At 39.4% G+C, this 14,973-nt stretch overlaps 1 non-coding gene across 1 annotated transcript; it reads left to right on the forward strand.

The window, feature by feature from the left end:
• Positions 1-5,607: 5,607 nt before the first annotated feature.
• On the forward strand, positions 5,608-5,711 carry LOC124902829 (small nucleolar RNA U13). The gene has a single exon (XR_007063014.1). It is a non-coding gene; the product is annotated as a small nucleolar RNA U13 (small nucleolar RNA).
• The last annotated feature ends 9,262 nt before the right edge of the window (positions 5,712-14,973 follow it).

Genomic DNA, 14,973 nt, shown 5'->3' on the forward strand with positions numbered 1-14,973 from the left:
AGCAGTTTGCCCTGTGACCTCGTTTTTTTTTTTTTTTTTTTTGACAGATCTAAGAAATGTTGTAGATTTTTCTGTTTGGTCAGCTTTTTTATTTGTTGTTAGGATGGAATGGTGACTTTTTTTTTTTTTTTTGAGGCGGAGTCTCACTCTGTTGCCCAGGCTGGAGTGCAGTGGCATGACCTCGGCTCACTGCAACCTCCTTCTCCCGGGTTCAAGAGATTCCTCCTGCCTCAGCCTCCCAAGTAGCTGGGATTACAGGCATGTGCCACCACACCTGGCTAATTTTTGTATTTTTAGTAGAGACAAGGTTTGACCATGTTGGCCAGGCTGGTCTTGGACTCCTGACCTCGTGATCCACCCACCTCGGCCTCCCAGAGTGCTGGGATTACAGGTGTGAGCCACTACGCCTGGCGAGTGTTGACTTTTAAGCTGCTTACATGCGAGAATAAAAACTGAAAGTCCTGGACATACTGATTTAGAGTTGTTCCTGAGATACCCAAATGGAACTCTCCAGTATGCCAAAGGGTATTGATGTGGCTTTCAGTAAGCTGGAGATCAGACCCAAACACTGTGAGTGTGTAAGAAGTTGGTGAAATCATGGAATGTATGAAGTTAACCTGGGAGTGAACTAAAGACAGTCCTGGGTAATTCCGACATTAAAGGGGCAGCATACAATTTTGAATGAGCACTGAAGATACATAGTCACTTTCTGATAAAATTAAGTTTTCCCTGGTACCTTGTTATAGCTCATATAAATTTATCAAAGTTCATTACCTTTTACTCTTTTACACCCACACCTCCCACACCTCATTTAACTAAAGCAATTATATTATATAATCTGCTCATCCTGGGGCAATTTTTAAGATGTAGACTTTTTAACAGTGGAATAAAGTATTTCCAACTACCTTTTAAATAAGGTTCTATAGATTGTTTAATTCAAATCTTTTGTTTAAACATATCACTTTAAAGCAAATATATTTTATTCCAGTTGGCAAACTAAAGAAAGTTTCGAGTACTGAATTCTAAACCTCCAGAAGTAGGATTAAAAATTTAGATGCTTGAGGATTCCAGGAAACAGCAACATTTCTGCAGGCTACAGTAGAATAAAGGCTGGAGGGACACATCTGCCAAACTTTATATTATAATTAAATCACTTTGTACTGTCATAGCTTTAGTTTAGAAGAGAATGTTTGTGGGGATTTTTAATCAGATAAAAATAGGGCTGCTGTTTTCTCTATACCAATTAACATAGTTGACATTTAGCCAGATCTACCCTGGACACAGTAGGGGATGTACAGTTTGTCCTGGTTCTGTGGGAAATGGAAAATGCAGTACTTGGCACAAGAAAAATATGTGAACCCAAAAAAATGTTGTCAAATATAGCAAGTCAAATTAAGTAAATTGATTTACTGAAGGGCAGTCTATGCTTTCGAGAGAAAAAAGCAGGAAGAAAGAGTTTCTGGACTACTAAAAAGCTGAAGAGACCTTGAGTTTAACTGTTAACATTATATGTTAATAAATGAGCATATTTAGTTACAGCCATTTTTCTAGCACTTAAATATGCAATTCTTACGATGAGTTTAAGAACGGAACTGGTAGTGGCTCATACCCAGCATATAAAGACATGTTAAGGTTGGGCGCTGTGGTTCATGCCTGTAATCCCAGTGCTTTGGGAAGCCAAGGCAGGTAGATCACTTGAGGTCAGGAGTTCAAGACCAGCCTGGCCAACAGGGTGAAACCCTGTCTCTACTAACAATACAAAAATTAGCTGGGCGTCGTGGTACACACCTGTAATCCCAGCTACTCAGGAGGCTGAGGCAAGAGAATCGCTTGAACCTGGGAGGAGGAGGTTGTAGTGAGCCGAGGTCGTGCCACAGCACTCCAGCCTGGGCGACAGAGCAAGACTCCATCTCAAAAAAAAAAAAAAAAAAAAAGACATCTTAAAAATTTTTAGCACAGAAAGACTACTTACATGCCATCTAACCCAATTCCTTCACTTATAGATGAGGAAAATTGATCCCAGGGATGTTAAACTGCTTTCATCAAGTCACACTGATATGTTGCCCTCTCAGAACTTCTGCCACACATCCTTTGGCTCATGCACCAAAAACTTTAGGAGAATATCAACGATATAGTAACATTTCAAATAACTACAATGCTTGAAGAATAGTTTATTCTCATTCATTTGAAATTCTGATTAACTAATGTTTTGAAAGAAAAGTAGTTTTATATTTATAACTTCTTAAAAATTTATCCCAGGTGTCTTAGCTCATAGTAGCACCTTTACAAGTAATAGGTTGAAAACATGAAATTGCTGATATTAGCTACTTTTTTTAACCACAAAAATAGCAAATTTTAACCAAGTGCAGTGGCTCATGCCTGTAATCCCAGCACTTTGGGAGGCTAAGGCAGGCAGATCACTTGAGGTCAGGAGTTCGAGACCAGCCTGGCCAACATGACAAAACCCTGTCTCTACTAAAAAATACAAAAATTAGCCAAGCATGGTGGTGGGTGCCTGTAATCCCAGCTACTGAGGAGGCTGAGGCAGGAAAATCGCTTGAACCCAGGAGGTAGAGGTTGCAGAGAGCCAAGATCACACCACTGCACTCTAGCCTGGATGACAAAGTGAGACTCTGAAAAAAAAATCAAGAAAGAAAGAGAGAAAGAGAAAAAGAAGAGAGAGAGAGAAAAAGAAAGAAAGAAGAGAAGAGAAGAGAAAAGGAAAGGGAAAGAAAGGAAAGAAAATAAATTTTGGGACTTGTACTAGTCAGCATCCAAAATGGATCTCAGTGATCTTTACCTCTTGGTATTCAAGTCCTTGTATAGCCCCTGCCCATGATGAAGAGAAAAAGAAAGAGAGAGAAAGAAAAGAAAGAAAATAAATTTGGGGACTTGTATTAGTCAGCATCCAAAATGAATCTCAGTGATCTTTACCTCTTGGTATTCAAGTCCTTGTATAGCCCCTGCCCATAATGAATAGGAATGACCTGTGCAACCAATAGAATATTGAGGAGTTGAGGATGTTTGACTTCTGAGGCTGAGGTCATAAACAATATTGCAGCTTCCACTTTGCTCTTTCCTGGCTTATTCACTCTGGCAGGAATCAGCCACCAAGTTATGAGAACACTCAAACAGTCCAAGGGAAAGGTCCACGTGGCAAAGAACTCAGACCTCCCGCCAATAGCCTGCACTAACTTGCCAGCCTGTGAATGAGCCATCTTGGAAGCAGATCTTTCCACACCACAGTAAAACCTCCAGAAGTCCTGACCAACATCTTGATTGCAACCTCATGAGGCACCCTGAGCCAGAACCACCAGCTAATCTCTTCTTAAATTCCTGGCCTATGGAAACTATGTGAGATACTGTTTTTTGTTTATTTTTTTTTAGAGACAGAGTCTCCCTATGTCACCCAGGCTGGGAGTGCAGTGGCTTTTCAAAGGTGCACAATCAGTACACTACAGCCTGGAATTCCTGGGCTCAAGACATACTCCTGCCTCAGCCTCCCAAGTAGCGGGGACTACAGGCACATGTCACAGTGCCCACTGAGATGCTATTGTTTTAAGCCACTAAGTCTTGGGATAATAGGTAACAAATATGGAGCTTTTACAAATATGTATCTGGGCCAGGCGCAGGGGCTCATGCCTGTAATCGCAGCACTTCGGGAAGCCAAGGCAGAAGGATCTCATAAGCCTAGGAGTTCGAGACCAGCCCAAGCAACATAGCAAGACCCTATCTCTACAAAAATTAAATTGAAATAATTTGCTGGGTGTGGTGGTGTGTGCCTGTAGTCCTTGCTACTAGGAAGGCTGAGGGGGAGAAGAACACTTGAGAGCGGGCATTTGAAGTTACAATAAGCCATGATTGTGCCACTGCACTCCAGCCTGGGAGTGAGACCCTGTCTTTAAAACAAACTATATATATATATATACACACACACACACATACACGCACACATGTATACACGTGTGTGTGTGTGTGTGTGTATATATATATATATATATATATATATGACTAGAGGCTGGGCATAGTGGCTCATGCCTGTAATCCCAGTACTTTGGGAGACTGAGGTGGGAGGATTATTAGAGCCCAGAAGTTTGAGAACAGCCTGGGCAACATAGTGAGACCCCATCTCTATGAAAAAAAGAAAGAGGCCAGGAGCAGTGGCTCACGCCAGCACTTTGGGAGGCCGAGGCGGGCAGATCATGAGGTCAGGAGACTGAGACCATCCTGGCTAACACGGTGAAACCCCGTCTCTACTAAAAAAAAATACAAAAAATTAGCTGGGCATGGTGGCGAGTGCCTGTAGTCCCAGCTACTCAGGAGGCTGAGGCAGGAGAATGGTGTGAACCTGGGAGGCAGAGCTTGCAGTGAGCCAAGATTGCGCCACTGCACTCCAGCCTGGGCGACTTAGCGAGACTCCATGTCAAAAATCAAAATAAAAAAATAAAAAATAAAGTATAAGACTAGATAGTATTAGGAAATTTTACAGCATTACTAAGGAATGGAATTTTGTTTGTTTTAAAATATGGTTTATAGTTCATGTGGTTTCCTTGGACCAATAAGACCCTTCCTAAATCCATTCCAGAGATTATTATTTTGGGTCTCATTCCCTCCTTAGAGAGCCCTCTAAGAATCTCTCCCTGCAAGGTGACTCAAGTTCACACCAATGTTTCTCTGCTTTGATCCTTAGTAAAACTTGTTGGACTTCACAGTTCATTCTTTTAGCATCTAATCTCTAATTGTTTCAAGTATGCATTGCTTATCTCTTCAATTAGATCAATTCGATTGTAAAATTCCTGCAGCCAGGACCACATCTTTTACTTGCTTTAGACCTTCAACATTGTTGTCTGCTGGGGGCACATTACATGAGTATCATTACTCATTTATTGATTGACCAAATTAATAGAATCGCTTCTCAACATAGTTTTCCTCCTTGAAGATCATTTTATCCTAGAAACCATTCTTTATTTCAGAATGTGGCATAGATTTTCGACATGGACTTTTTTCCCCCAAGAAAATCATACAGTACTTTAAAACACCCAAGTCTATCATATAATCCTCTTTGAGTTATTCATATTTCCTAAATGTGCTGAATTTTTTGCTATCACTTTGTGACTTTCTCCAATTGTGAAGCTACTAATTTAATTATATTATTTTATAATTGCTAAAATACAGGTTAGGCCAAAAAGAGCTTGCTGTGGTAACTACATGGACTCTGTCTGAAAGGCCCACCCCTAACATTTGTAATAGTGGGACCAAATGATACATAGAAGCCTATATATCATATGTCTAAATATTTCAAAGTCAGGTATCAAACTATCAAACTTTTAGAAAAAAAAAAGAAGTATGTTCTATTCTTCTGTCTTGATAAGTTTTCTTCCTAGTTATTTCTTCTCTGAATTTCAGTTTTATATTTTCTATTTCTATCTTGACCTTAACTTGTACTCATTCTCAGAGTCTTAAAAGATTTAAAAAAAAACCAAAGTGACTGTATTCAAAGTGTTCAAATATGTCGTCCATCAAAAAATGTAAATTAAAAACTGGAAAATTCCCATTATTTAATGTTAGAAAGGAATTTTTCTAAAGTATTCAAAAGAATCTCTCCTGATCCTTTTGTAGTTCATGAGTGTAATGATTGAGTGTTCATGCACATGTGTGAGATATGCCACCCTTGAACCTTGTTACACCGTTGTCACATTGCCCGTTTGACATGAAAAAAAGAAACAAAAGAAAAATAATCTTTCCTAAAATTTCTAAAGAGAAAAGCAAATTAGAATCATTAAATATCAACTTCTTTTTCAGATTCATCATCTGCTCTGAAAATGTCAAAATTTTAAATCAAAAGAATTAAACAAAAAATGTTTTAAAAATTATTTGCATCATTTAAATATTTTAATAAAAATAAAACCATTTTTAATGGTCACATTCAATGGCCACTCAGTGGCCAATGTGAAGAAATGGTATCACACTTCACGCATGTTATGTATAACCTTCATATACACACATTTGAATAATATAAATTGTTTTATCTTAGAAAATGTTCCTCAGCCACCATATTTAATTATTGCAAATAAAATACTAGTTCACAAGTAGTCAGGAAACACAAATTAAAACATGAAGAAGGCCAGGCACAGTGGCTCATGCCTGTAATCCCGGCACTTTGGGAGGGCTAGGTGGGCAGATCACTTGAGGTCAGGAGTCTGAAACACTAGCCTGGCCAACATGGCCAAACCCCATCTCCACTAAAAATACAAACATTAGCTGAGTGTGGTGGCGCAGGCCTGTTCCCAGCTACATGGGAGGCTGAGTCAGGAGAATCACTTGAACCCGGGAGGCAGAGGTTGCAGTGACCCAAGATCGTGCCACTGTACTCCAGCCTGGGTGAGAGTCTCAGAAAAAAAGAAAAAGAAAAAGAAGAAGAAAATGGATACTTTGTGTGTTGGAAAATGATACTGCATTACGCAAAAATCTTTTGCACTCTTGATAACTGAAAGGTCTGAAAAGTTAGTCTCTTCTCTTACCTAGGTGCTTCTGTTATTCACATTCTCCTAAATTGCTCATGTTCATCTTCATATCTTGTGGTGGTATAATGCAGAAGACATCACAGAATTTGGACACAATTGCCTTTTCATTTAATGACGTAGGATAAGAGATATAAAGAAGCATTTTCCTGGGCCTTAAATGCTGTTAAGCACGAGTGGATGCTTAAGAACACACTGTGTCAATGCTAAGAGCCAGATCTTGAGTATCAGAAGTGCCCATGTGTTGTTAAATAAATTTTTTTGGGGACGGGCACAGTGGCTCACACCTGTAATCCCAATACTTTGGGAGGCCGAGGCAGGTGGATCATGAGGACAGGAGATCGAAACCATCCTGGCTAACACGGTGAAACCCCGTCTCTACTAAAAATACAAAAAAATTAGCTGGGCGTAGTGGCGGGCGCCTGTAGTCCCAGCTACTCGGGAGGCTGAGGCAGCAGAATGGTGTGAACCCGGGAGGCGGAGCTTGCAGTGAGCCGAGATAGTGCCACTGCCCTCCAGCCTGGGCGACAGAGTGAGACTCCGTCTCAAAAAAATAAAATAAAATAAAATAAAAATTATTTTTTGTGTTGTGATATGTAGGGCCTTCTAAAGCACAGGGCCTAAGACTAGGGCCACTTTGCCCAGGTAGCAGGGTTGTACTATTTTATCAAAAGTTAATCACCGAAAGTCAGAAATTTTTTTCTAGTCTCATGTATGATTTACAGATTAAATAATAATATTATTATTTTTTTCATGGCAAGGTGTCACTCTGTCAACCAGGCTGGAGTGCAGTGGTGTGATCTCAGCTCACTGCAACCTGTCTCCTAGGTCCTAGTGATTCTCCTGCCTCAGCCTCCCAAGTAGGTGGGATTACAGGCATGCACCACCACACCAGCTTATTTTTGTATTTTTAGTAGAGACAGGGTTTCACCATGTTGGCCAGACTGGTCTCAAACGCGTGACCTGAAGTGATCTGCCCACCTCAGCCTTTCAAAGTGTTGAGATTACAGGTGTGAGCCACTGCACCCAGCCCAAATTAAATAATTAAGTTATTCATAGTGATAGAATAATGAGAGTGCAGATTCTGGAGAAATGGTGATTGGGTTCACATCTCAACTTCTCAACTTTGTTACTTAGTTGTGTGACCTTGGGCAAGTTACTCAACTTTCTGTGCCTCAATTTCCTCAACTGTAAAACAGGGATAAAAATAATAATATCTAGAGGGATGGTTGCTATGCTTAAAAATACCAATCCTACTGAGGAAGGTGCTGAGAACAGTACATGGATCATAGCAAGCTCTATATATGTATTGCTCTTACTATATGTGCACTCTCCAAAGCATTCTGTAGAACCTAATCCATTCTTGGAAATAACACAATAATTAATGATAATTATGATAATTACAGTGTTTGAATACCTCCCATGTGCCAAGCACAGCATTTATATTATTTCGTTTAATCCTCAGAACAACCTTGACAGGTAGGCATTATTCTCAATTCTCAGAGGAAGAAACTGAAATTAAGAAAGGTGAAATAATCTGCTCAAAGGCACAGATAGTAAGTGACAGAGCTGAGCTTTAAATGGAAGTTTTCTGAATCCTAAACCTGTGCTCTTTCTACTTTGTTCTTGGCGGACAAACCATGTTGCTTAATGCCAAATTCCTGGTTCTGAGATCCCAGAATACAATGGTTTTGTTATTTGTGAAGATGAAAATTACAAATAATTTGTAATCACCAAACTGAACCCCTTGAGGGGACAGATTGTTTCCTTCTGCACCCCTAGCACCATGCCTGGAACACAGTAGATAAATAATATTTGTCCAAACAATGATGATTAATCTGGAGACAACAATATGCTAGGGAAATGAACAAACTTTTTTTTTTTGAGACAGGGTCTTGCTCTGTCACTCGGGCTGGAGTGCAGGGGCACAATGATGGTTCACTGTAATCTGGAACTCCTGGGCTCAGGTGATTCTCCTGACTCAGCCTCCTAAGTAGCTGGGCCTACAGGAGCACACCATCATGCCCAGCTAATTTTTAAATTTTTATTTTGTAGAGATGGGGTTTCACTATGTTTCCTAGTCTGGTCTCGAACTTCTGGCCTCAAGCAATCCTCCCCCTCAGCCCCCCATAGTGCTGAGATTATAGGTGTGAGCCGCTGCACACAACCAAACATAACATTTTGTGAATTGACAGTCTATAGGTTCATTGAGACAGCTGCAGTGCTTCCTCTACTTCACGTAACAAATTTTTATGATAAGTAATAATTTTTTCAGCCTGAGCAATATAGTGAGACCCTGTCTCTAAAAACATTTTTTTAAAATAAATAAACCAGGAACATTTATGCATACCTGTGGTCCTATCTACTTGGGAGGCTGAGGTGGGAGGATGGCTTGAGACGAAAAGTTTGAGGCTGCAGCGAGCTAGAATTGTGCAATTGCACTACAGCCTGGGTGACAAGGAAGAATCTTGTCTCTTAAAAATAATGATCATCATCATTTTTAAAGTTCAGTTATACTTATGCCCTCTGTTCTTGCTTTGACATTTTTAACCATGACGTATAGACCTTGACTCTCCCTTGCATCTTTTTGAAATGAAAACTGAGTTTATTCAAATTTCTTCTGGCTTTAGCTATTATTCCCATGATCCTTGCTAGAAAACAAATTACAGGATATTTGGAGATGTTTCCTTGTTTAGATTTGAATTGCCTGGGCTATTTTTTTTTTCTCGGAAAAATCTCATAGTACACACAGTTTCGTACCAGCTTGGAACATGGTTATTTGGCCCATCTGCCATTTTAAATAACATTTAAATTTAGGTTTGTATATTTTTAGGGATATGGTGGTGATGCTATAGAGTTTTATTCTGAGAGTTTCAGTTCTTCAGGAGTTCCACAACGAGCAACTTGCATGTAGTCTGAACAATGTGTTTAGATGCATTTCCCAGCAAGTTTTAGGGGAAAAAATTAAACTCCTCAAGTTCATCTCTCTTCTGCTTGACCAGAGGAGCAGCAATTTATTTACACTTGAGTTCAGATTAGGAAAAAAGAGGAAGGGGGTTTCAAGCAAACTCATACAGCTCAAGCATCTGGCAACTGTTAACCAAAATGGTGGTGGAAAGAGAAGACTTGTGTCAGACAAAATCTCAAGTATCTACTTCCTCATCCTTTCTTAGTGATGAAAACTTTATTTTGGCTGGGTTTATAGCCACCCAAAAAGAAAAGAAACCCTTGCAGTTAGGTATGTAGGTATGTGACTAAATTCTAATAAATGAGATGTCATTGAAATTGTTCTTTTGAATTTCCAGGAAGGCTCCTTAAAGGGAGATCATGCAGACAGATCATCTCTGGCTCCTTCATTTGGGCTGGAAATAAAACATGATGGCTGAAGCGTGAGCAGTGCTTCTGGGCTATTAGGTAGAAGCCATGTGGCAGAGCCATGGGGTAGAAAGATTCTGTGTGCATGATGATCATAGAACTGTTATACCAACTCTGGATGGCTTACTTCTGGACTTCTTTTATGTAAAAGAGAAATGAATTTATATATCGTTTAAGGGCACTTATTATTCACTGTTTTCTCTTTCTCATCTATACCCAATTCCAAGAGACAGAACGATCCATTAGGATCTTCATATATGGTTCTATCTTGGAAAAGGTTAAAAAAAAGGATCTGACTATATTTCCATGATACTCCTCACCCCAAATATTACACTCTTTCCACCTGGCCTATGAAAGCCAAAGACATCAGGACAGCCTCTTCAAAGAGAGGGAACTTGTTAATTAACCCTAGTTTATGAATATGATAGCAATTTCTCAGATAATATGCTTATATTGTCCCAAGATGGACTAATTACATATTCTGGGTTTTGTTCTGTGAAATTAGCTTAAATGATTTCTCTGTATTTGATACAATTCATTAATTGTTAATTAATTGTTAATTGGTCCTTTAAGATCTCTAGAATCATTTTTTAGAGTACCAAGAAAGGCAAACTAGCCAAATGTGACTTTTTGACTTTTTTTTTTTTTTTTTTTGAGATGGCGCCTCACTCTTGTTTCCCAGGCTGGAGTACAATGGCATGATCTTGGCTCACTGCAAACTCCGCCTCCCAGGTTCAAGTGACTGTCCTGCCTCAGCCTCCCAAGTAGCTGGGATTACAGGCGCCCTCCACCACATCCAGCTAATTTTTGTATTTTTAGTAGAGACGGGGTTTCAACATGTTGGTCAAACTGGTCTCGAACTCCTGACATCAAGTGATCCGCCCACCTCAGCCTCCCAAAGTGCTGGGATTACAGGCATGAGCCAGCGTGCCTGGCCCCGAATGTGACTTTTTACCTCAAGCATCAAACTGCTTTATACATTACATTGAAATATACCTCACAGCTGTTTCCCCAGAAAGACTAGTTTTCTTTTCAAATATTCTCTCATTTTTACATTCTAACCTCTAAAATGTTTCAATCTGTTATAATGTATTGAGTCTTGTAAGGTTATAAATTAATTTCTTTTTAAGTATGATTTTTGCCCTGGAAAAGAGATTTTACATGATCAATAATGAATAATTAGTAGGGAAGTAGCCAAGAGTAGAGGATGGGCAGAGAAAAGAAAATGAAAAAAAAGTTAGACTTTAATACAGAAGAAAATTTATCTTACGTTTTCTTCCACATTAAACATTTTGGCTAAGTAAATTCTTATAAGGGAAACCAAAAGATTTTTAACCAGCAGAAACAAATGCCTGATAAAACCAAAAGACAGGTTTCCTTATGATCTAATAAAGTAATTTTGTCTTCATAATTAGCAAAGTGCTATTGCTAAAATAGCACTTAGGAGATGATGCTCAGATATTCCCCCAGTGGGAATAATGTACATGATTCAGACTGTGAGCAATGACAGCATAGGATAACTTACACATTGCCAAATCATATCCCCGGGTGCCAGAATGTGTGTGAATCTTCTACCTACTACCGACTCATGTCTCTAAGATACGTTGACAGACCTATTTGTCATGTCTCTTTAGTCTGTGGTGTGGTGTAATACAAAGAGCACTGGGTTGAAGGTCAGAAATGTTAGAGTTCTAGTTCAGGCTCTAACACCTGTGACATTGTGCATGTCACGTGACCTTGCCTGGTGTCAGCTTCCTCATCTGTAAATTGAGGTTAATGATACCTACATTACTCGCTTTACATGTCTGTTCTGAAGATCAAATGGTATGTACTTATGAGTGTTTTGGAAATTTTAAAATATTAAATATTCTATTACTGTAGGTTTTTTCACATATACCTTTGGCCCTACTTAGGGGTCCCCTCCCTTCCTCCCTTTTTCCCTTCCTCCCTTCCTCCCTCCCTCCCTCCCTTCCTCCCTTCTATTCTTCCTTTCTCTCTTGCTCTCTTTCCTATTTATTTATTTATTTTTTTTTTTGAGATGGAGTCTCACTCTATTGCCCAGGCTGGAGTGCAGTGGCGCCATCTTGGCTCACTGCAACCTCTGCCTCCCAGGTTCAAGCAATCCTTTTGCTTCAGCCTCCTGAGTAGCTGAGATTATAGGCATGTGCCACCACGCCCAGCTAATTTTTGTATTTTTTTTAGACATGGGGCTTGGCCATGTTGGCCAGGCTGGTCATTCTTTCTTTTTTTGTAGAGACAGCATCTCGTTTGTTTTGCCTAGGCTGGTCCAGAACTCCTGGCTTCAAGTGATCTTCCTGCCTTGGCCTTCCAAAATGATTTTTTTTTTTGATACGGAGTCTCACTCTGTCACCCAGCCTGGAGTGCAGTGGCACGATCTTGGCTCACTGCAACCTCCACCTCCTGAGTTCAAGCGATTCTCCTGCCTCAGCCTCCTGAGTGAGATTACAGGCAGGTGCCAACACCCCCAGCTAATTTTTTTTGTATTTTTAGTAGAGACGGGGTTTCACCATGTTGGTCAGGCTGGTCTCGAACTCCTGACCTCAAGTGATCTACCAGCCTCAGCTCCCCAAAGTGCTGGGATTACAGGCTTGAGCCACTACGCCCAGCCCAAAATGTTGAGACTACAGATGTGACCCACCGCGCCCAGCTACTTCTGACATTTCTTTCCCTCCAAATCTCTTTGAAAATTAGAACCCAGTCTAGGAGATCTTTCAATGACCTCTCTCAAAAGCAAATCACAACCTTCTGAGCCTCTATCTGTAAATGAGAAGTTGAAATAGATTAATAGGCCCAGATTTTATTTTGAAGCAGAACATTTTTTAATAAACTTATTCTGAAGATCAGCAGGTGAAATGGACAGAAACGGGTTTGCTCTTGGTTGAGACAGTTGAAGCTGGAATGAGGATAACTCGGAGTCCTACCTAATTAGTCTTCTTTCCCCCACTGTATTCCTAGCTCTCTTTTAGGCAGCCACTGAGGCTCCTCACAACAAACCTCAGATCCTTCCCACTCGAACCTTCTACAGTGTTGATGGTATGATTCTAGCCCTTACGTATCTATCATTCTTCAAGCAAATTCTCTCTATTATAAAGCGGTAAAAGATAGCTGTAAAATGTTATAGATGACAGATGTCTTGGCCTCTCCAATGACTTAAATACTAGGTAGTCCACCATTCCATCATCTGAATCATTCTGAACTCTTGTTAGTCACCCAACAAATTTGTTGAAATGTAGCCAAGTCAATAAAACCAGATAGGTACCAAATTTCTTGAGCTAGAAGATGACTTTAAAAAGTAATGTAAAATATCGCCAAAGCTCTCAGGGAGTAGGAACTCTGCATGAAACTATAAAATATCGAATAAGCAATTCTCCAAGTTGTTCTCCACTAAATATACAGCAATACTGCAGGCTCTTTGAATCTCTTTTAAATAGGAATGATTCAGAGATTAAGAAGCCATTTATAATAAAGCAAACAATTCAATGCCATTTCTCAATGGCCCAAACAAGAGAGTTTGTTTTGGGAAGTTGGTTCCAGAATACACAGATCATATAATTGCACAGTGTCAGAGCTGGAAATGCTGTTAGGGAGTAACCAGTCTATTTTACATATGACAAATGTGAAGTTCAGAACGACTGTGAGTGAGCTGTCCAAGATTAGGGATGCATTCAAGCTTCATTAAATAAGTATTAACTGAGTGCTATGTGCCAGGTGATAGGGATAGGAAGGCAAATAAAACACGATCTTTGTCCATGTAGTGGAAGAAGACAAATAAGTGAATAATTGCAGTTAAATTGTTGCATAAGTGGGACTCCAACTCTGTGTCCAATTTCATAATCAAAGGTCTATCCCACTACCTTATACTGACTCACAACTAAACAGCTCGAGAAATTAGTAGTGGGGAGCCATGGTCAGTATATCCAGAGATATGTTTATGTCAACTAAGCCTTGGTCTTTGGGGTGCACAGGTACTTATCCACCTTTCTTGAGGACCTGTGAATAATAGGGAAGACTCTATTCTTATATGAAAGGAAATTCTTACAAAGATTTTTTGCCAATACTTATAAGGACTTCTTAGAGCATTGAGGAAACCATGAATGGTAAAGGCTTACAAAGCAAAGTAATAATAGTATAGCCTTTGCTCGGACTTTTGAAGAAGTTACCACCAAGGTCAAAGTCATGAAAAATTATATGGCATACTTTTCAACCTACTTAAGTAAGAAAAGGACATTTTAATTAGCTGTCCGCATATGTTTCTTTTTCCTTAGTATATAAAATATTGAAGAAATATACAAATATTTCAAAGATCTGTACCATCATCCAGAAAGAACAACAAACGCAAAAGCCAAACAACAGCCTGGGCAACATAGTGAGACCCTGTCCACCCTCACCCTCATCAGCTGTCCATTCAATAAAAAATGAGCAACTTTATGAAGAGATATTATGCCTACAAATTAATTACAATAGAATGTAAGCGTGCACTCACATTTTTATGAAAAAATGCATCTATGCATAAAAGCAAATTTGGAAGACTACACATCGAAACATTAAGAATAAGAAAAACCTTTAAGGAAAATATAAACAAATACATAATGGTTTTATAGAATACATACACAATAAAAGTAAAAAGACCTAAGCCTGGTGATGTGTTCCTGCAGTCCCAGCTACTGCAGAGGCTGAGGTAGGAGGATGGGTTGCCCCCAGGAGTTCAAGTCTGTAGTGCATACCTGTGAATAGCCATCGTACTCCAGCCTGGGCAGAATAGCAAGTGCTCATCTCAAAAAAGAAAAAAAAAAAAAGGAAAAGTAACCAAAATCCTTTATTTAAAACTCTCATGTATAATTTTTGTATTTTCTAATGTCTCTGGAATGGAAAAAAATTCCCAAATCCAACCATAGAGAGTATTGTTGAGAATTGTTAGTGACCATGTTCAGACTTTTCATATTACTGGTAGTTTCAGACCTTCCCAAAACACTACATATCAAATATTTAAGTTACGGAAAGTATCATCAATGTTACTTACCAAATGTCAAAAGAAGAGAAATAGTCACCAATGAGA

The sequence above is a fragment of the Homo sapiens genome, chromosome 11 (genome assembly GCF_000001405.40).
Source record: "Homo sapiens chromosome 11, GRCh38.p14 Primary Assembly".
Taxonomy (NCBI): Eukaryota; Metazoa; Chordata; class Mammalia; order Primates; family Hominidae; genus Homo; species Homo sapiens.